The sequence below is a fragment of the Homo sapiens genome, chromosome X, assembly GCF_000001405.40.
Source record: "Homo sapiens chromosome X, GRCh38.p14 Primary Assembly".
Classification (NCBI taxonomy): domain Eukaryota; kingdom Metazoa; phylum Chordata; class Mammalia; order Primates; family Hominidae; genus Homo; species Homo sapiens.
The window spans coordinates 135,344,249-135,364,520 of record NC_000023.11 but is presented as its reverse complement, the minus strand read 5'-3'; the positions used below and the strand labels follow the sequence as shown (position 1 = coordinate 135,364,520).

Below are 20,272 nucleotides of genomic sequence, written 5' to 3'. Positions count from 1 at the left end.
GGCTGGTTCCCCTGTTTATTCCCTATTTCTCTGGATTTTAGCCTACACAACATCCTCAGTACACTATGAAACAATCCCTGAGAATTCAGGAGGGCCACAGTCGCAAAAACCTCAAAGTGCCCTGTGCAGGTTCTCTCTGCTTTCAGAAAGACAAATAACTATGGGATCCTGAAGGAGAGCGTTCTCAGCCTGGTTTGAAGAGTCCCGGTCTCCCCTAGGTCCTTTAGCTTCCTGTTTTAACTGCCTGCCTCAATGCCCAGGCAGCTACTAACAATTGCTGTATAACATCCACAGAACAGACCAAAGGTGGTGGAAAAAACTTACCAAGGGAAGGGGGAGTACAAAGGTTCAGGGAGGCAGAATGGGGAGCAATTCGATCTTGATGTCACCAACCCTTCACAAACACCAAGAATACGCCTAAAGACATTAAAGTAATTGAGCGGTCCAAGGCTCTATTCTAAATTTGCACCCTATAGAGCCCTTATTTTCTAAGGTTTTAGGATACTTAACAAATTTTATAAAATGTAGGTCTTTAAAAAAGCCTAAATGAGCTTTCAAAGCAGAAATAGAATGAAACTTGTTCTCTAATCACAATGTAGCAAAACCAAAAATTAAGAGGAAAATGGCAACATTGTATATCTCTTAAGTCAAAGAGGAATTATAATGAAAACAACAACCATTTTGAAATCATCAATAAGAACATTACATATAAAAGCTATGAAGTATGTCCAAAGCCATAAAGAGAAGAAATCTATAGCTTTAAATGCTTTTATCATTAAACTACAAAAATGAGAATATAATACGGGGATATTTATTGAAAGCTTACAGTGTGTAGGGCCAGAGCAAAATATATTTCATTTAATCTTCATAGTACTTTTGAGGTAGGTACTGTAATTTCCCCTTTATAATAGCTAGGAGGTAGGTACTGTATTTTGCCCTTATCTTTTTGAAATGCTCAGAAGTACAATTAGACATAGAAGTATAATTATCCATGCAATGTTCTAAATATGTTATCTGTTTCCAAGAACTATTTCATGTGTTTCTTGATTCAATACCAGAAATATTTATTCTTATATATAGGGCACTGTAACAAAGAATATTAGACATTCTCTAACTTGTAAAAATCTAGTCAAGTATATTTGATATAAATGAGAGGGAGGATGCAACTCATATTATGATTGCAACTAACCCTACTAGCCAAAAATGGACTGTATTAAATGCTAAAAATGATGCATAATCACAGTGCCATGGTTGCAGAGAGAAAAGCGATTCCAACTTGGGATGAGGACAGAGTCAATTGCCATGCTTGTTGCCACTGTTCAGGGAAGAAGCTCTAAGTTGTTCAAATAATTAATTAGTGCAAGTGAAGCAGGAAGAGCACATACATTTCCGCTTTATTCAAATATTGCATAAATACAGAGCAGTTGGGCACATCCATTCTAAGGCACTGTTCTGGTTTGAATGCAATTCCACAAGAGAGAAAAGAGAAGCCATTACATTCTGTATTTTTCATCTCTACATTCAGACTCCTCCTATATTATATGTTTATTGCTACTGGGATATCAATTTGAGCCCCAGACTTATAGCAGCATCATATGTTGACCTGGATGACAAGAATTAAAGATACATCCTGGGTCTAGCAATTGGTATAATTGGCACTTAATTACAAACTCTCTTGCATTATTCTCCACCTGTTTCCCAACTCTTGTTTAACTAAAAATATTATAAAATCTTTATGAGCCTGATCCATGAATTATATTTCTTTACTAGCTTCCACTAAGCCTAGAACAGGACTAGTTAGGCACATAGTAGATACCCCCCAAAGTATTTATATCACTCTCGAGAACTTCAATGGAATAAAGACATATACTTTTCCTAATTGTAGTTCAAGGAAAGGATGACTGAACATCTTCATAAAGGGAAAATGCCTGAATGTCTTATTTCTTGTATTTTATAACAAGGAACTAGGCTCAATGAATATTTTCATGTTTTAACAGGTTTAACTGACAATGAGAAGTCTTCCCTTGCTTTGGGAATTTGAGCTGTTACCATGATTACATGAGAACATTTATATAAGTAGCAGTGTGTGTGTGTATGTAATTATAAGTAAAATTCAAAGAGGTTGAGAATCACTGGGAAACTTATACATTATCTGAATTAGTGATCCTCAGCTTCTTAAAATGATATGTGTATATACATATGTGTGTGCGTGTGTGTGTAAATGTAAGTAAAATTCAAAGAGATTGAGAATCACTAGGAAACTTAAAAATTATCTGAATTAATGATCCTCACCCCCTTAAAGTAGTATGTGTGTGTGTCTCTGTGTGTGTTACACAAATTCATATATATTTTAAGAATTTTTCATAACACCCTTAAAACAACTGGAGATAACTAGGCTTGGGAGCAACATAACTATACTGACAGCTATAGAAATATCTGTTTAAGGCAGTGTGTTCCAAGAGACATTTGCAGAATATTAGTTCTGTAGCTTATTATTGGGTATATGAAAAAGGTTTTGGGGTCAAATAAGTTTGGAAAACATTGAGCCAAAAGAGGTGCTTTTTCTCTCCTTTCTAGAGGACCTCTCAGAGATTCTCATATGCTGATGTGTACTATGAACCTAAGAAGGCGAAACAGCAGGAAGTAATTCCCAAATATATTTGCAGAATATCTAGCAGAACTAAGTATTCTATGACACATACATAGGGAGATGCTGAATTAAAGAATGGGTAAAATTTTAAAAAGCACTAAAAGACACATGATTGAATACCAAAGGAGAGTGAAATACCAAAGGAGAGCAAAAGACCCTGGTTCTTCAGTCAATCAAAATTAAATTAGATTCTGCTTGTATAATTTCAAGCTTAAAATCTTAATTTCCTTAAACATAACAAATTTCAGTGGAAATAACCCAGTTCTTACCAGGCAAATGACATCCCCTTCATCCTTGTGTTCCTGACACATTTTTATTGTTTGACAAAATTCACTGTCTCCTTTCTTGCCACATGGGACACATCTAAAGCTTTGAATGAATATAATCATCTTTAATAATGACAGCAGAATAACTATAGTACTGCTATAATCAATACGTCTGATAGACAGGTTTATCCACTATATTGACCCTACCTCTAAAAGGATTGTCATAATTTATATGCTTTATGTTTACACCTATGATACAGTTGCCTTGGAACACAAAATTTTTCATTGTAATTAAAAAAAGAAGAGTTGTGCAGACAGAAGAAATCAAATCTAAGAAAATCACAGGAGTAGATAAATACTCTAGAATTCATATACCTTGGAAGATGGGTTTTAAAACTAGTAAAAAAAAAAGCTGTCTATGTTCTTATAAGCTCAAACAAAAGCTTCCAAGACAAACAGCCTGCTGCAGGTTAAGATTTTTTTTGAGTTAGTGTCAATTTGTGTAAGACCTGTTTCCCTTAGCAATTCTTAAATAAGTCCTCTAAAGTGAGTGACCTGGTGCATAATAAGGCCGGCTCTCTGTCTGAAGCTTTTAGAACAATGAGTACACTTGTATGGCTTCTCCCCTGTGTGGATTCTTAAATGAATAACGAGGCTTGGTCTCTGTCTAAAACTTTTCCCACAATAATTACATTTAAAAGGTCTCTCTTCAGTATGCGTTCTCTGGTGCAAAGTAAGAGCTGTCAGTCGACTAAAACTTTTCCCACAATTATGACATCTATGAGGTTTTTCACCTGTATGAGTTTTCAGATGTCTTTTAAGACTTGATCCATGACAAAAACTTTTCCCACACTCAAGACATTTATATGTTTCTTCTTCAGAATGGGTTCTCTGGTGCCCTATAAGATGTGACCGCCGAGTGAATCGCTTTTTACATACAGTGCATTCATAGGGTCTCTCCCCTGTATGAAGTCGTTGGTGTCTATAAAGGTCTGAACTACGAAGGAATCTTTTCCCACATTCAGGGCATTTGTGAGGTTCTTCTCCTGAATGAATTCTCTGATGCCCAGTAAGTTGTGACTTCCGAGCAAAACATTTTCCACACTGAGGACATCGGTGAGGTTTCTCTCCTGGACTCTTTTTCTTGTGGGGTTTAGGGTTGAGAGGTTCTTCCAAGTTGGAGTTCTCAGGTGTCTCTCCCAGAGTGGGGTTCTGCTGATCTACCAGTTTTGCTAAATCTGTCTGTAAATCCTCTGGGGGGGTTTCCCATTGATTTTCTAACTGTACATAGTCTTTTTGCAAAATGGGACCCTGGAGAGCATTCCCCTCTAAAGTTACAATAAATGGATACATAGTCTCCATTTTTTTCTGTTTTGAAGTATCTTCTTCATTTTCTATCCCGATCTCAAAACCTGAGAGAAGAAATAGAAACTGCAGATGATATTGTGTTCCATGGAGAAAAGAAAGTGAAGGAAAATGAAGAGTTATGTTAAACCAGTGGCAGGAACATAGAAATTCCTAAATAGAATTCCAAACTCTTTATTTAGGTTAAATTTTTCTTTTTTTTTCCCACTAGTATATCAAAGAACAATTACTTACCTATCTTGGAATCAAGTAATTGTTTCATTTCTTTAGAATCCTGTAATTCCTTCACCCATGGCTCTTCTCTATTCTCCAATGAGAAGTTCATGTCAAGTTTTGGTAATGGATATCCTGGCCAGAAGAAAGATGGGAAGCATTACAGTTTGGCTCATCAAAGGTTTTTCCAAAATTTAGGCTGATTTCTTGGACAGATAGCCTCTTAGTATCTACTTCCTTCTCCATTACTATTACTTCACCTGAGTCTCTTACAACAGTCTTTTCTTTAAAAGATAAGAGCAAAATGAAAATGAGGTGGTGTTCAATTCAAAGCTATTCTCTAATCTATGGAAGGTGAGTGAATAAATTCTGTGCTGAAATCAATGCACTAAATCATTTCAGCATCTATTTTGATACTAGATTTGTTTAGGTTAGAGCTAAAATATAAAGTAAATTTCATAAAGTTTTGCCATATTAATACTGGGAAACACTGCTATTGAGTGCCAAATGAAGAAAGAGAGGTGAAAGTAGTAAAGTGTTTACTGGAAAAATTTCAGTGGAGTCTTTTGAATTTAAACGAAAATTGAACTGGGTTGAACCTAGCAAAAGCAGCATTTATGTTGGTTTCCGCTGAAGTCTAAAAGTGGATTCTCTTAAAATTAGCCCAGATAACTTATACAGGTGAAAATGACTATAACCCAAAATGACTACAAAATAGTATTTCAAAGTGTCAATCTAAGGACAACCAGGTGAAGTTTCCAACCACTCACTCTCGCCTTGTCTGACCACCCCTCTCCTCATTGACAGCTGGTGTTGCTTACATCCTCTTTTCTGAGCCCCTTATTCTCCTCCTTTATCTCTGATCAAGTTTACTGGTCTTCAATGAAATGTGGGCTGTAAATTACTAATTTGATATCTAAATGTAGGCTGATGTTTAAATATTAGTATTATTAAAATGACATTAGGAATTTAGTTTGACTAATGTTAATCTGACGTAAAATTTAAATTCCAGAACATTATATTCAAGGCAGAGGAAGTGGGCTAAAATACCTTGTTTTAGTTTTTCATGAAAAAAAAATTTCCTTTTTAAGATTAAGAAACTAAAGCTGAATTTCAAATAAAAGTGCTGTTTAAATTCACTATTTTGTTTTCATTTGGATTTCAAAGCTAAGAGTGAAATTACAGGGTAATATGAAACAGGTCAAATAAAATTCAAGGTAATAGATCAAAAGAAAGCTGCTGTGAAGTAAAAGATGGAGTTTCAATTGAAACTTGGAATAGGAGAGAATAGCAAAGGCTTAGGTACAAAATACTGACTTATAATCTAAATGAATGGTAATTTGAATCCACATGACAAAGCAGCACAAGTAAAAATAATTACGTAATGAGAAAAGACAGTATTGCTTCTTTCTTTTGTTAAAAGATGTAAAAGGCAACTGTATAAAAATATGTATATAGTGTATTGCTGGGCATACAACATATAGAAATGTAATATATTTCCCAATAACAGCAGAAATGAGGTGGGTAAGAGCAAAGTGTATGGGACTGAAGAAATGACTCCAGTTGGTAATTCAAATCCACAGGAACAAATGAAGAAAACCAGAAATGATAAACAATGCTAATATAACAAAAGTTATAATATATATGTATTTTCCTTTCTTCTTTCAGCTTCTTAAGAGTCTTAAAATTATATAAAGCAATAATTATAACAATGTATTCTTGGGTTTAAAACATTTTTGATGTAACATGTATAATAGTAATATCACAAAAAGGGGGAAAAGAGAACAGAGCTACATAGGAGAAACATTTCTATATCTCACTGGCATTAAGTTAGTATAACTTTGAAACCAATGATAAGATGTACATGGTAAATCCTAGAGCAACCACTAAAGAAATAAAAGTAGTAAAATTATTAAAGTAAGTAAAATATTACATGAGAAATATTTACTTAATGAAAAAGAAAGCAGTAAAAGAGGGATAGAAGAACAAAAAAGACTTGAGGCATATAGAAAACAGAAAGCAAAATGGCAGATATAAATCCAACCATATCACAAATGAAATTAAATGTAAATACATTAAATGACTTAATCAGAAAGCAGAGAAGGTCTGACTGGATTGAAAAGATCCAACTATATACTGTTTATAAGAGGTATACTTTAGATTCAAAGATACAAACCGATTGAATGTAAAGGGATGGAAAAAGATATATCATACAAGTAGCAACCACAAGAGAGCCAGTCAAAATAGGCATTAAAACAAACAAAAAAACCCCTGTTACTAAGATATACAGGATCATTTTATAATGATAAAAATATCAATCCATCAGGAAGATATAACAATTATAATCATGTATGCACTTAATTTCTGAGTACTAAAATATATAAAACAAAACTCAACAGAAATAGTACAAGAACCAGATAATTTAACAATAGTAGTTGGACACTTCAATAACTCCTTGCACTAATAGACAGAAAATCTAGGCAGAAGATCAATAATACAAGACATAGAAAATACTATAAACCAACTAAACATAACAGAATAGAAATGAGAATCTAGCAATAAATCCATATACCTGTCCTGTGGTCAACTGATTTTGAAAAGGGTTTCAAGGATATTCAATATAAAAAGAATAGCCTTTTCAACAAATAATGCTGAGACACCTGGATGTCTCCACGGGAAAAAATTATTATTTGGACCTCTACCTCCCACCCTATTAAAAATTAATGAAAAATAGATCAAAGTCTTAGATGTAAGAGCTAAAATTATAAAACTGTTCGATGAAAACACAGGAGAAAATTTTTGTGACCTTGGATTAGGCAATTATTTCTTAGATAAGACATCAAAAGCACAAACAACAAAAGAAAAAACAATTACATATGACTTCATCAAAATTAAAAAAATATTTTGGGCTACAAAGGACACTATCAAGAAAGTGAAAAGATGGCCTACAGAACGGGAGAAAATACCGGCAAATCATATGTCTAATAAGGGACTTTTATCTAGAATACACAGTTGACCATTGAACAACATGGGTTTGAACTACACAAATACACTTACAGGCAGATTTCCTTCCACCTCTGACAGCCCTGAGACAGCAAGACTAAACTCTCCTCTATTCTGTTGATCTACATGTCTATTCTTATGGAAGTACCACACTGTCTTAGTTCATTTGTGTTGCTATAAAGACCTTTATAATGATCCACTTCCACTTAATGAATAATAAATATATTCTCTGCCTTATGATTTTCTTAATAACATTTTCTTTTCTCTAGCTTACTTATTGTAAGAATACAATATATAACAAATATAACATATGAAATATGTGTTCATTGACCATTGATGTTATCAGTAAGGCTTCTAGTCAACAGTAGGCTATTAGTAGTTAAATTTGGGAGAAACAAAAGTTATGTATATGGATTTCCAACTGCACAATAGGTCAGCACCCTTAACCTCCACATTGCTCAAGGGTCACCTGTATGAAGAACACATACAATTCAATAATAAAAAGACAAATAATTCAATTAAAAATGGGCAAGGGGACTAAATAGGTCTATGAAAATATACAAATGACCAATAAGCACATGAAAGCATGTTCAGCATCGTTACTCTTCAAAGAAAGAAATGCAAATCAAAACCACAATGAGTCACTATTTCATACCTATAGGATGGCTAGAATAAAAATGTCAAATAATAATAATAAATGTCGCCTAGGATGTGAAGAAATAAGAGTGCTTGTACACTGCTGGTCGGAATGTAAAAGAGTGCAATCAGTTTGTAAAACAGTCTAGAAGTTCCTGAGAAGTTTAAACATAGAGTTACCATATGACATAGCAATTGTGCTCCTAGGTATATACCCAAGAAAAATGAAAACATACATAAATACAAAATGTCATACTGAAATTTTTATAGCAGCATCATTCATAATAGCCAAAATATAAAAACAATCTAAATGTTCATCAGCTGTTGAATGAATAAACAAAATGTGGTATAATGTCACAATGGACTATGCAACCATAAATAGGAATAAAGTACTGATACATGTTACAACATAGTTGATCCTTGAAAATATGCTAAGTGAAAGAAGCTAGTCATAAAAGGCCACATATTGTATGATTCCATTTATATGAAATATCCAGAATTGGCAAATCTACAGAGACAAAAAGTAAATTAGTGGTTGCTTTGGAGTGGGAGAGATGGGGGCCAAAAAGTGATAGCTAAAGGGTACAGGGTGGTGACAGTTGTACATATTGTGAATATACCAAAAAACATTAAATTGTACACTTCAAAGGGGTGACAATGTATGGTATGTGAATTATATTTCAATAACGCTATTTTAAAAAGATGTAAATGTAAAAAAAATTTAAATATTGACATCATTAAATGATATTAACAAATTAGTTTGGCTAACATTAATCTGAAGTAAAATTTAGATTTCAGTACATTATATCAAATCCTAGGAAGTGGTGTAAAATACTTTATTTTACATTTTCACAGGGAAAAAAACAATAGATTTTAGATTAAGAAATATAAAATACACTTCCAATAAAATGTTTTATAAACTCACTATTTTGTTAACAAAGCTTGGTTTAAACCCAGGAGTGGGATAACTGAATGATGTGGTGGAAGAGGCCCCCCCAAAAAAACAGAAATTATACATTTAAAAAATAACTAAGAGTAGAATTGGATTGTTTGTAACACAAAGGATAAATACTTGAGGAGATGGATACCCCATTTACCATGATGTGATTATTATGCAATGCATGCAATGTATTAAAATATTTCATATACCTCATAAATATATACACCTACTATGTACCCACAAAAATTAAAAAAAAAATTTTTAAAAGTTAGTGGAAAAAAATAAACTGGAGTTCATAGATTAAAGAAAGCTGCCATCAAGCAGAAGTGAGAAGGAATTGAAACTGGGGAGAGCAGCAAGTAGCAAAGGCTTAGGGTGGTAGAAGCCTGGAGGCCCAGGAGATCTCAATATGAAAGCCAGAAAAACAGTTTTGGGAATGACAGGAATTGTTCATATGGCTATTCTCATCTTACAGAGCACAGATTTGAAACTCTTAAGGTTATAGATTTAATCAAATATCACTTCAAAACCAGGCCCAGACACCTGCTCCTTGGGTAAAAGAAGCTCTACGACCTAGCTGAAGGACTAAAAGTAGCCCTGGAAGCAGAATCTGGTACCCATGAGATCTAAGGTCAGAAGTGTTACTACCAGGCAGCTGTGTCTCATGGGCTTCCCATATTGGCCCTCAAGTCTAGCTGCTACCTTATGTACAGCACCAAATTACAGAGGTTTGAGTACTTTTGCTTTGGTTCCTTGTCCCCAGCATCATACTCCTGGTGCCAGCTTTCAAAAAGCTTGGCCCCAAATTGGGTGCATCAGGACAGTCTCTACACCTTGGATGTGAGAACATGGTGCTCATAGTTGAGCTTCTTCATGGATGCCAACCTAATGCACTTCTTATATGTGTAGCACAGCCCACCACAACCCTGTGGTCCTGAGTAATATTCAGATACTTCTGGACACTGTCACCAATTTATTTGCATTTCTCAACCTTATTTTCACAGTCCATGTCAGCTAAAACCAATTCCCATTCACTTTTGACCCATGTCTCACCTTTAGGTATCAGTTCCCATCCTCTACTCTTATATATTGAATAAAATACCACCACCAATGCTGAATAAAACTGACACTTACTGAAAGGGTTTCCACAGATATTTGCCCTACTCTGTTGGCCAACATAGCGAGAACAGTTATGGCTCTTACATAGCAAAGATAAGTGAAGATGAGCAGAATTTGGCATTCCTATATATTGTGGTGGGAGGATAAATTGGTACAATAATTTCAGAAGTCAATTTGACAATATCTATTAAAGTTTTAAATGCCCATTAATCAATCAATTCCAATTCTAGAAATTTATCATATCAATACCCGCATATATAAGTATTCTCCAAATGTTTTCTAGTTTGGCTCCATGGCTTCTGGGTCAATGTTGAGTGGCAATAAAAAAGCAGGCCTTAATGCCTACTTCTGTCAAGGAGCTCTTTTCTTTACCCTCAATGTAAGCTATCTGTAAAGCAACTATTATTGGATGAGTGGTTTTACAGTAATAGAAGAAACATTAACTGCTGGTCAGTAAAAAGAGAAGGGCCCTACACTCTACTTCTGTGAGCTCATTTTCTTTTTTAGCTCCCACAGGAATGAGAAACACAAAGAAATGATAAATGTTTAAGGTGACAGATATGCTAATTACCCTCATTTGATCATTACACATTGTACACACATATCAAAATATCACTCTGTATCCCATAAATAGGTACAATTATTACATGTCAATTAAAAATAAAAGGAAAAAAGGAGGGCCCTACAGATAGAAACCAAAGCCTGTTACCTTAAATTTAATCATCTCTCCTGGTTTTGAGACCATAGTCTAGAATATTAGTTTTCCAGTGACAATAACATATTGCCCAGGATGTTAAACTCATCCTCTGGCTATAGCTAAGAGATCCATCATAGGTATATTATATTTGACCAAATTAAGTGAAGAAATTTTACTTAGGAAAAATTAACTGAAGAAAAAAAAAGGAAATTATTTTTGATTTTTTTTTTAAGTAAAAGGCTATTAAGTCCAGGCATGGTTGATTCAAAATACGCTCCCAAATTCTTCGGTATTCTTTCCTTCAAGAGGTGGAACTTCCTTTTCCTTCACTTAAGTGTGGGTTGGACTTAGTGACTCTTCTAATGAACAGAATATGGTATAAGTATGGTATGTAGGTAGGTTATCAAAGACATTGTGTCATCCTCCTTGCTTTCTCTTGGATCCTTTGCTCTGGGGGAAGCCTGCTGCCCCATCATAAAGATACTTAGGTAACCTATGGAGAAATTCCTTTGGCAAGGAATTGAGGCATCCTGCCAGTCCCTGATGACATCTTCACAACAACTACAAGAGAGACTCTGAGCCATAAACATCTAGTAGATCACTCCTGAATTCCTCTCAAAAATAGTAACATGATAAATACTTTTTCCTTTAAGCTGCTAAGTTTCGGGGATAATTAATTGCCCTTCAATAGCTATCCCATGCAAAGAGGGAAAAGCAATTGGAGATTAACAAAGAAGGTGCTTCATTGAATGTTCCCCCCATCCTAAACTCAGGGAATGGCTTCATTAAACCCCATTAGCAAAGACTGTCTCGTAAGAGCTTCACTACACCAAGAAATGTCATTACTATAGTTGGGGGTTAGATATTAGCTTATGGTAAATTTTTTGGTATAGTAGAATAATCTGAAGAAGTTTAAGTTATAAGAATCTTCTGATGCTTTCTAGACAGCATTTGTTTGTCCTGTATTTTACTTTAAATTTTCATCTCTCATATTCTTCATCACCAAAAAGATGTGATCTTTTACATTTCACACACATTCCAAATGAAACCTCATCAATTGAAATGAAAAACCCAAAGCTTTGACAACTCAAAATGCAATCCAGTTTTGGTGTACGAATTTTGAACTCCATATTTTCAAAGATAAGCATGATATATTTTATGTTTTTAAGACTAGCGTCTCCTTGCCTCTTTTCTTTCTGATTGCATACATTCTAATATTATTGCCTATCTCTGGCATCAAAGTGTCCAGCATGAATTCAAATAAGGGATTTTGTTTTAAAGTTTATGTCTTCCTTAGGTCACTTTATATTGTTCACTTAAGTTCTCTTTTATTTTGCAATGAATGTGTATATGTGTTTTCAGTTATATTACATGAAAAAATATATATGCACAATTCATATATACTCAACAACCTAATTTTTTGCTCATAGGAAATAGGTTCCAAACATTAATATAAAATCAATTGACTTCTTCCATTACTTTTGAATTTCTTTTCCACTCAGCTGGCATCTTGTGCTTTCCATTCAGTCCACAATAGAATGTATTTCATGTAATACATCAAATATACTTTTGTTTAAAGTAAAAGTTTAAGTAACCTTTAAATAATAAAATAAGCCTTGCAACATTTTTCAAAGCATAATATATCACTTTAAACGGTGATAAGAAAAGGATAATTTCCTGTCCTCCAATTTGTAATTTTTATCTGTTAAATTAATTAATTCTACCTATCCTTTGTTAAATATACTAGATTTCCATGTGCTTTAGAGAGCAAAATATTAACACCAGATAAATATTGCTACTATGTGGTATTTGTACCTGCAGTGTTGACAAAAGGAGCGAATTAACATGGAGAATCAGAATGCAAATGCAGAAAGAGTTATACTTCAAAATATTACTAGCTAAGTTTTACTACTTGTTCCAGGCATATACACATAAACCCGGTTTTGTTTTTTTTTTTTTTTTTTTTTTTTTTTAGAATTCCTCAATAGACTATGAAATGTAGATGATGTAAAGCTTGGAACATAAATGGCAATATATAGTTCTGCTTTGACCACAATATGCATACTTGTAAAGTTTTCCTCTTTTGTCACTTTTATTTAAAAATATGCTGGAGACCCATAAGCACCTCAAACTCTGTATGTTCAAATCTAAACTCAACTTGACCCACCGAATCTGATCTTCCTCTTTTGTTTGTCATGTCAGTGAATAACATTACCATCTACCCAGTTCAATGGCCAGAAACCTGGATTCCATCCTTACTCCCTTCTTCTCCATCACCCTGACACCCAATCACCAAGCTCTATATTTCACACCTGCTAAGTATCTTTTGAATTACATTTTCACTCCATCATCACCAACATGCCCTTGCTCTAGAACAACATCTTCTCACCTGAATGATGGCAACAACCTCCCAAATGGGGTCCCTGCTTTCAGTAGTATGTATCCATTCCTACTATAGCCAGAATAATCTCCTAAAATGCAAATTTGTGTGTATCATTCTGGTACTGGAGAACCTCAAAATGGTTCCCCACTTCCCTGATAATCAAGTGTGACTTCTCCATGAGGCTGCAAGTTCTTCGTGACCCAGGACCCTGCTTCTCTCTCCAGCCTCTTCTATTGCCACTCCTGCCCCACTGCTCTTCTATGTCCCTTGCACTGCAGCAGGAGGTCTTCTCTCTGCCTTCAGAACGTTGCACATGTTGTTGCTTTTGATCCCAGCCCTCTCCGCTTCCCATGTACACCACTCCACAGGCTCACTTTGATCCATCCTGTAGGTTTTAACCCAGATCCTCCTTCCTCCAGACTTCCCTCTCAGCCAAAAGCTGGTTAGGTGGCCCTCCTCCATGCTCCTGGGCATCCTATTCCTCCCAACATACCATTTACTGTCAGATTTCTGTTACATACAGGACAAAACGTCCTACTAACATATCTGAATTGTCCACTGAACTGTAATCTCCAAGATGACCAGAGCTGCTTTCCAACCTTGTGTGCTACTGAATCCCCAGGGTCTGGCATGGTGTCTGGCTCCTCAAAGGTGCTCGTAGATAGTGTACAAATGAATAAATGATATTAATATGATGTGGAAAGGGGCATGGTTCCTAATCCTGGGTACTGAGCTAGTTATGGATGGATCAGACATTTATATTTTATAACTTGGACAGTTCTTATTTTCATTTTTTATGTGTCTTCTGTGGTCTCAGTATTTAACAGTCTCTTGAACGTGCGAACATGTTGAAACAGTACCTGGGGGAGTCGGGGAGAGGATTCTGGCCACACTCGGGCCAAAGCTTTAATGTGAGGGGTAGAAGAGGTACAGGGAACACTGGGTAAGAAAACCCCAAAGGAGAAGCCGGGTGTAATGGCTCACGCCTGTAATCCCAGCACTTTGAGAGGCCAAGGCAGGCGGATCACCTGAGGTCAGGAGTTAAAGACCTGCCTGGCCAACATGGTGAAACCCCGTCTCTACGTGTGGTAGTGCATGCCTGTGATCCCAGCTACTTGAGAGGCTGAGGCAGGAGAATCACTTGAACCTGGGAGGTGGAGGTTACAGTGCGCCGAGATTGCGCCACTGCACTCCAGCCTGGGCGACAGAGCAGGACTCCCGTCTCAGAAAAAAAAAAAAAAAAAATAGAAAACCCCAAAGGGGAATAAAATATAGGAGCAACTGGACTATGTGATCGTGCTGCCTTTCTCCACTTGGACTTTCTCCTTCTAGAACTAATCCCTGTGGTGTCTGGGCCAGTGATTCTCAAACTTTAGTGTGTGTAGCACTCACCTGCAGAGCTTGCTAAACATGCACCTGTGGTGTTCATGCTGCAAATGGTCTGCTTACTACAGTTTGAAAAACACTGTAATAGGTTTTGATTTAATGAGGTAGATATTTCCTTTAGACTGCAGTAAGTGGTTGATCTTACAGGATCTAAATAGACTATATTACTAAAGTATTAAGTTTGAATAAGGCTCTGATGCCATAAAAGCAACCGAGGCCCTTGGGGCCCACCACATCACAGTTCCTGTTGATTAAAATTGGGCTGAGAAATGAGTCCTTATCCAGAATCCAAACTCCCATAGTTTTCCTGTGTAACATTCTTGATCAAAAGACTCCTTATCAGGGTCATTAGCTTAAAGGGTTCCTAATCCCAGGGTTCTATCCAAAGTGCTTTGTTCCCTACTATTCCCAGAGAGACTTTTTCCTCTTCTTTATCTGAGTGGTCAATTTCCATTGAGTAATTGGTGTTTCTAACCCAACCCCAACCCTTGAGAGTTCCTGAACTCTCAAAACAGAAACAAAAGAAAGGAGAGAAACCCTTGCCTTACCAGGGTCCAGAAAGTTCTGACATTCTCCAGTAGCACCATAGTTCAGCTCCGGTGGCCCTGCCTGTGGGATCCATGCCTCTGCTACTGGGGCCTCCTGGGCAGGTCCCATTACCTGGAGTGCAGGTGACTCTAGGTGCATGGTTGGTGGTATGTGTGCCGTTCCCACTGGTGCCAGTTCTTCCAAGAGCATGTCATGCATATCAACCTGGGGGAAATGCCAGAACCATCACTCTCAAGTCTAGACCAACAGTGCCCAGTAGAATTGTATGAGAATCATGCATGTAATTTTAAATTTTCTAGTGGCCATATGAATAAATTTTTTAAAAAGTAAGGCCAATCTTAATAGTACGTGTTACTTAATCCAGTGCAAACAATCAGGATTTCAACATGTAATCAATATGAACAATTATTAGTGAGATATTTCACCTACTTTTTTCATACCAAGTCTTCTGCATGTGGTGTGTATTTCATACTTACAGCAGATCTCAATTTGTATTGGCCATATTTCAAGGGCTCAAGAGCTGTACATGACTAGTAGTGACTGTATTCAGCAGCAAATGTCTAGACCACATGAAGATAAAATCTTATATAGTAAACAAAACCAAGGAGACAGAGAAAGGAAGGGCAACCACCAACCCAAGTACCCTAGGGAGACAGAAAACTTCAGAAGACTCCTGTTCAGGAGCCCTGAAGCTAACAGCTCCTGCAGAGAACCCCCATAGACAAGACTGGAGTATCCCTGATGCCCATCTGGAAGCTCCTGCTCCCTTTTCCCAAAGATACTGCCCTCTCTCAGTCACGGCACTTCTGAAAAGAGGCTTTACACAGTCATTCTGAATGGCAGACAGTGCCACTGTCCCCATGGGGAGTTTTGGATATGCTGACAGGTGGTGGCTATCAGAATTTAATGGAACATAATTTACAATGCAGAATTGTTCTAGGTCCCTACCAAGTGTGGAATGTCCCACTCAAACATTCATGTGAGTAAAAAGAACCTGTCAAGAACCCCACCTTGTTGGTCAAATAAGTACAATTGTTTGTTTTGTTTTGCATAGTTTCAGCACAAATGAAATTTTCTAGGAATGCACTAATGTGAAAAGCAAAGACTACACTGCTTATTGTTCAGATTTACCTAGAGTCGTATGCCATTTTGGAAAATCACATGACGAGGAGCAACACTGTTCGTAGTACTTGAGCTTTATCAGTCTGAATTTCTGGCTGTCCCATTCACAATGATTCTAAGCATAGATGCAAACATCTGACAACTTCATGACATTCGGTCAGGCCCAAGCACATATATGTACAAATCCCTATCAATTTATAACAAACTATGTTTCTTTTCCTTTATATTCCTTCTAGACTTGATTCAGGGTTGGCAAACTTTATAAAGAGCCAAATAGTAAATATTTTAGGCACTGTGGGGCACATTCACTGTCAGTTCTTCTCCTTCCTCTTTTTTTCAATGACCTTTCAACAAGATAAAAAAACCATTACATACAGAGTATACAGATAAACAGGGTATGGCTAGAATTGGCCTTCAGGCCATGGAGCAATTTACTGATGCTTTGGGTTGATGTATGTGGGTAGATTATGTTGTCTATCAATTTCATTTGTGCATAGTAAAGTGGACATTATAAACTATTTGTTATAGAAGGGGAATTGAGTCTGATAGAGTTAAAAGCACTGACTCATTTGCTGAGTTCAGCAGAAGAGAAAAAGGAAGAGGACTCTGGAGAAATCTTGAGGCTGGGGAATGACATAGAGACAAATGTGTGGTCTAGTCCCAGCTGCCTCAGCTACTTCCTTTGGACCAATCACAAAGATCCCACATTCTTTTCTTACCTGCTGCTCTGGTATCTCAAGTTCTCTCTGTAAGTCTTCTATCAGTGACACAACTCTTTCTCTATTCTCTGGGCAGTGCTCCCTCACCCAGGTCTCTATCTCTGTGGGCAGGATAGTTAGGAATTGCTCCAACACTAGCAGCTCCAGGATTTGTTCCTTAGAGCGCATCTTTGGCTTCAGCCATTGACAGCAAAGCTCCCAGAGTTTGTTAAATGCTTCATGAGGCCCAGCTGCTTCTCTGTACTGGAACTGCCTGAAGCGCTGACGGAAAACTTCACAGTCAGTATCATATTCTTGAAACACAGAGCCTTGATTCAAGGATGCCTGGATTGCACAACCCAGGGCCACAGCCATCGCCCCCTTCCAGCAGTTTACAGTTTATCTGGAGCCTCACTTCTCAGATTCCGACTTGTTTCTCTCTGAAATCGTTGGGGTGGGAGGGAGCCACCTACAGCTAAGGACAGAAAAAAATGAGAAAGGAGAAACAGGAGTGGTCACAAGAGGGCTTACTTACCTCGGTCAACTTCTTTTTTACCAAAGAACCTGTTAACTTCTTTTTTACCAAAGACCTAAAGTAGTTCTTTATTTTTCTCTTGGTTTTGAGAATCTGATGAAAGCTTCAGACTCACTTCCTAGAAAAATACACATACACATCCTTTTCTGCATCTAGTTTCAAAAGTTTATAAAATCTCAAAGCCTCTAGAATTGCGCTTGCTGTCCAATATGGTAGCCAACAGCCCCATGTGACACTTTAAGTTTAGTCAAAAATTTAGTTTCTCAGTAATATTAGCTAAATTTCAAATGCTTAATAGACTTCACTGCAAAAAGGTCTATTGGACAGTTCTGCTCTAGAATTCCATGGTCCCAGGCTAAGGACCGTGAATTTATTAATAAATGAACCCTTATAGATCTCTTTGCATTTAACCCATTCCCAGTTTAATTCCAATTGTCATGTGTTTCTGAATATATGTAGATCTCAAAAGAAATGGCGAAGGAATACTAACAATACTTCCAAAAAACTCTGAAAGTCCATCTAGCTTTAAGTATCTCCTAATGGCCTTCGACCAAAGTGAACTTAGGTAGAGCCATGGTTTGCAAAGGCAGCAAATTGTCCATCTCTCATTCTTGTCCTCACCGAGTCTGCGTAATTCCCCCAGTAACCCCATGCCATTCCTTCCCCACTCCCCTCCACCATAGCATTCCAAGAGGATCTCCTATGTGAAAAATACACTGCAATAGGGAGGCCATTAGGAATTTGCTATGCATTCACAACAACGGATATTTATTGAGTTCATGCTATGTGCCAGGTACTGTTCTAAGCATTCTACATATACTTGTCAGTTAACCCTCACCCAAGGTTAGGAGCTGGGTACTAGTATTATCCCCTGGATACAGATGAGGGAATTGAGGTTTGAGGCTTAGGGGGATTGAACAACATGTCTAAGGTCACATGGTAAATGCCAGAGGGAAATGGTGATTACGTCAAAATCTATATTCTCCAGCAATCAAAAGGTCTAAAAACATCAAAATGTTCTTGGTATAGTCTTTGAGGTCACAGAGACAGTCACATACATGTTTCTACAGGTCTCAAGACCTGTATCTGCCCATGTGCCTTGGGTCCTCTCTCTCTGCATGTGCTGAGACAGCTGCTGTAGTTGTCCTCTTCTCTGGAGGGGATTCAAGGGAAAAAAAGTACTCATGACTCTCTTCCTCCCCAGTCAACCTAAATCAGCACTCTGTCCTTGTATCCCCCTTTACCATGATGGTAGCCCGACTTTAGCAGATCGGTTTAGGTATAATAACCTGCTAGCTGTGTGACCCTGACACCCAGTGCCTCTTTTGTAACAGAAGATAATCATAGCATCTACTTTATAAAATGTTCTGCATGGATCCAATTGCATGCGAAGCGAATAGCAGCATGCCCGGCACAGAGGAAGCACTCAATTAAAGTTTATTGCTTGTCAGGAGTCATTCCTAGGGGGCCTCTATTTCCCAGAGTCTAGGCACCTAACCGTTGCTGGAGGGCATCCAGGAACTGTGCTGTTTTTGGCTCTGGACCCACCCGTTAATCTGCGCCAGCCTCACAGCTGGTCAGCCCTTCCCTGACTGACCCAAAACCTTCCACCACGTCTACCAGGGAATTGACCCTTCGGGTTTCCTTCGATGGACCCTTCCCAGAGAAACGTTCATTTCACTGTGGGACCAGTGATTTCTCTCCAAACCTTCTCGTAGGGAATCCACCCTCATGGGGCCTATAAGAAAAGCGATGTGTGTAAAGAGAGCACTTGAGGAACGGCAAGAGTGACACGTCCCTAAAAAGTGTAAAAGCTGATTCAAATTCGGATGCTAGTGTCTCGGGCGCGGCCCCTGTTCGCTCTTGGGCGACGAGGCCCCGACGCCTGGAGGGGAGCTCCCAGCCCAGAAGGACTCCCGGGAAGGCCCGGTCGGGTCGCAGGGAGTGGTGGCGGGGACCCTGGCCGGATAGGGGCCCACCGCCCACCACTCCTTCCGGCGCCCGCCGCCCGGGGCACAGCTGGAATCACCCAGTTAGCATGGCCCCGGCCACGGAAAGGAGCCCCGCTACCCGCGCCCGCGCCCCAGGGAACGGCCACGCCCTCTGGCCGCTCGGGGACTCACCGCCTCAGCGCCCACGGTTCTCCCAAGCTCACCGGCAACTGCCCAGGGCGCAGGCGCGGGACTGCGCTACGGACTACATCTCCCGGCAGGCCACACGCCGCCCGCCGGGCTGTGCGCCCACAGGGATGCTGACGTGGGAGGGGCTGGGACTCTTCCTGGCTTCCAACCAGCCTCAAGCTGTTTTGGAAGGGCTCCCGTTTCCTGTTTAAGCGCTTCTTAGTCGCAGGGTGTTGGGTGGGGCGAACCCCGGGTCGTGATCCAAATGAGCGCTTCTCCTTGAGCCTTGGAGTAACTGGAGCGGGTGGGGACCACCTTTAAATCTGTTACGACCCGGTCAGTGATTCTTAAACCTGGCTGTGTGGGGAGAATTTGTAGGGAGAGCTTGTTAAAAAGTCGTATTTCGGGGCTCCACCCGCTACCCTGACGCATTGAATCTCACAGGAACCCGGGGATTCGCATTTTAATAAACCATCCTGGAGATTTTGACTCCGGTCGTCCGCCTGCAGTTCACAGTGGCTTTGGATTTGCTTTTTAGTATCCCCATCTTCAAGACCTAAGCTTCGATCTAGCGAACCCGCCCATTACCC

General features: G+C 38.3%; 1 protein-coding gene across 4 annotated transcripts, besides 1 other annotated feature; it reads right to left on the bottom strand.

Moving 5' to 3' along the window:
• Window positions 1,108-19,725, bottom strand: ZNF449 (zinc finger protein 449). Of its 4 annotated transcripts, none has more exons than XM_047441915.1 (6): window positions 18,621-19,725; window positions 16,339-17,502; window positions 15,637-15,767; window positions 15,207-15,411; window positions 4,516-4,629; window positions 1,108-4,328 (listed from the first exon to the last, which is right to left on the bottom strand). In XM_047441915.1, exons 3-6 carry the CDS (start codon window positions 15,643-15,645, stop codon window positions 3,445-3,447), a joined length of 1,212 nt encoding a protein of 403 aa, XP_047297871.1. In that variant the 5' UTR covers window positions 15,646-15,767; window positions 16,339-17,502; window positions 18,621-19,725; the 3' UTR covers window positions 1,108-3,444. The 4 variants fall into 4 exon arrangements, with proteins under 4 accessions (XP_047297871.1, XP_016884840.1, XP_047297870.1 ...); XM_017029351.2 differs by having other exon boundaries at window positions 19,686-19,725; XM_047441914.1 differs by lacking the exon at window positions 15,637-15,767 and having other exon boundaries at window positions 17,049-17,502.
• Window positions 19,464-19,683: a silencer, noted in NCBI's record as "silent region_21019". NCBI's record gives its function as "represses an Ori minimal core promoter by ATAC-STARR-seq in GM12878 lymphoblastoid cells {active_cell/tissue: GM12878}" and the evidence as "EXISTENCE:reporter gene assay evidence [ECO:0000049][PMID:35858748]".

What these genes read in the sequence shown, in the direction of transcription:
- ZNF449 (XM_047441914.1), bottom strand. Translation starts at nt 17,402, where the DNA reads ATGGCTGTGGCCCTGGGTTGTGCAATCCAGGCATCCTTGAATCAAGGC. An exon ending in TCAGAACTTTCTGGACCCTG is followed by an intron (nt 4,630 to 15,206) that starts GTAAGGCAAGGG and finishes TCTTCTGGCCAG; the next exon opens with GATATCCATTACCAAAACTT. An exon ending in ATTACTTGATTCCAAGATAG is followed by an intron (nt 4,329 to 4,515) that starts GTAAGTAATTGT and finishes TTCTTCTCTCAG; the next exon opens with GTTTTGAGATCGGGATAGAA.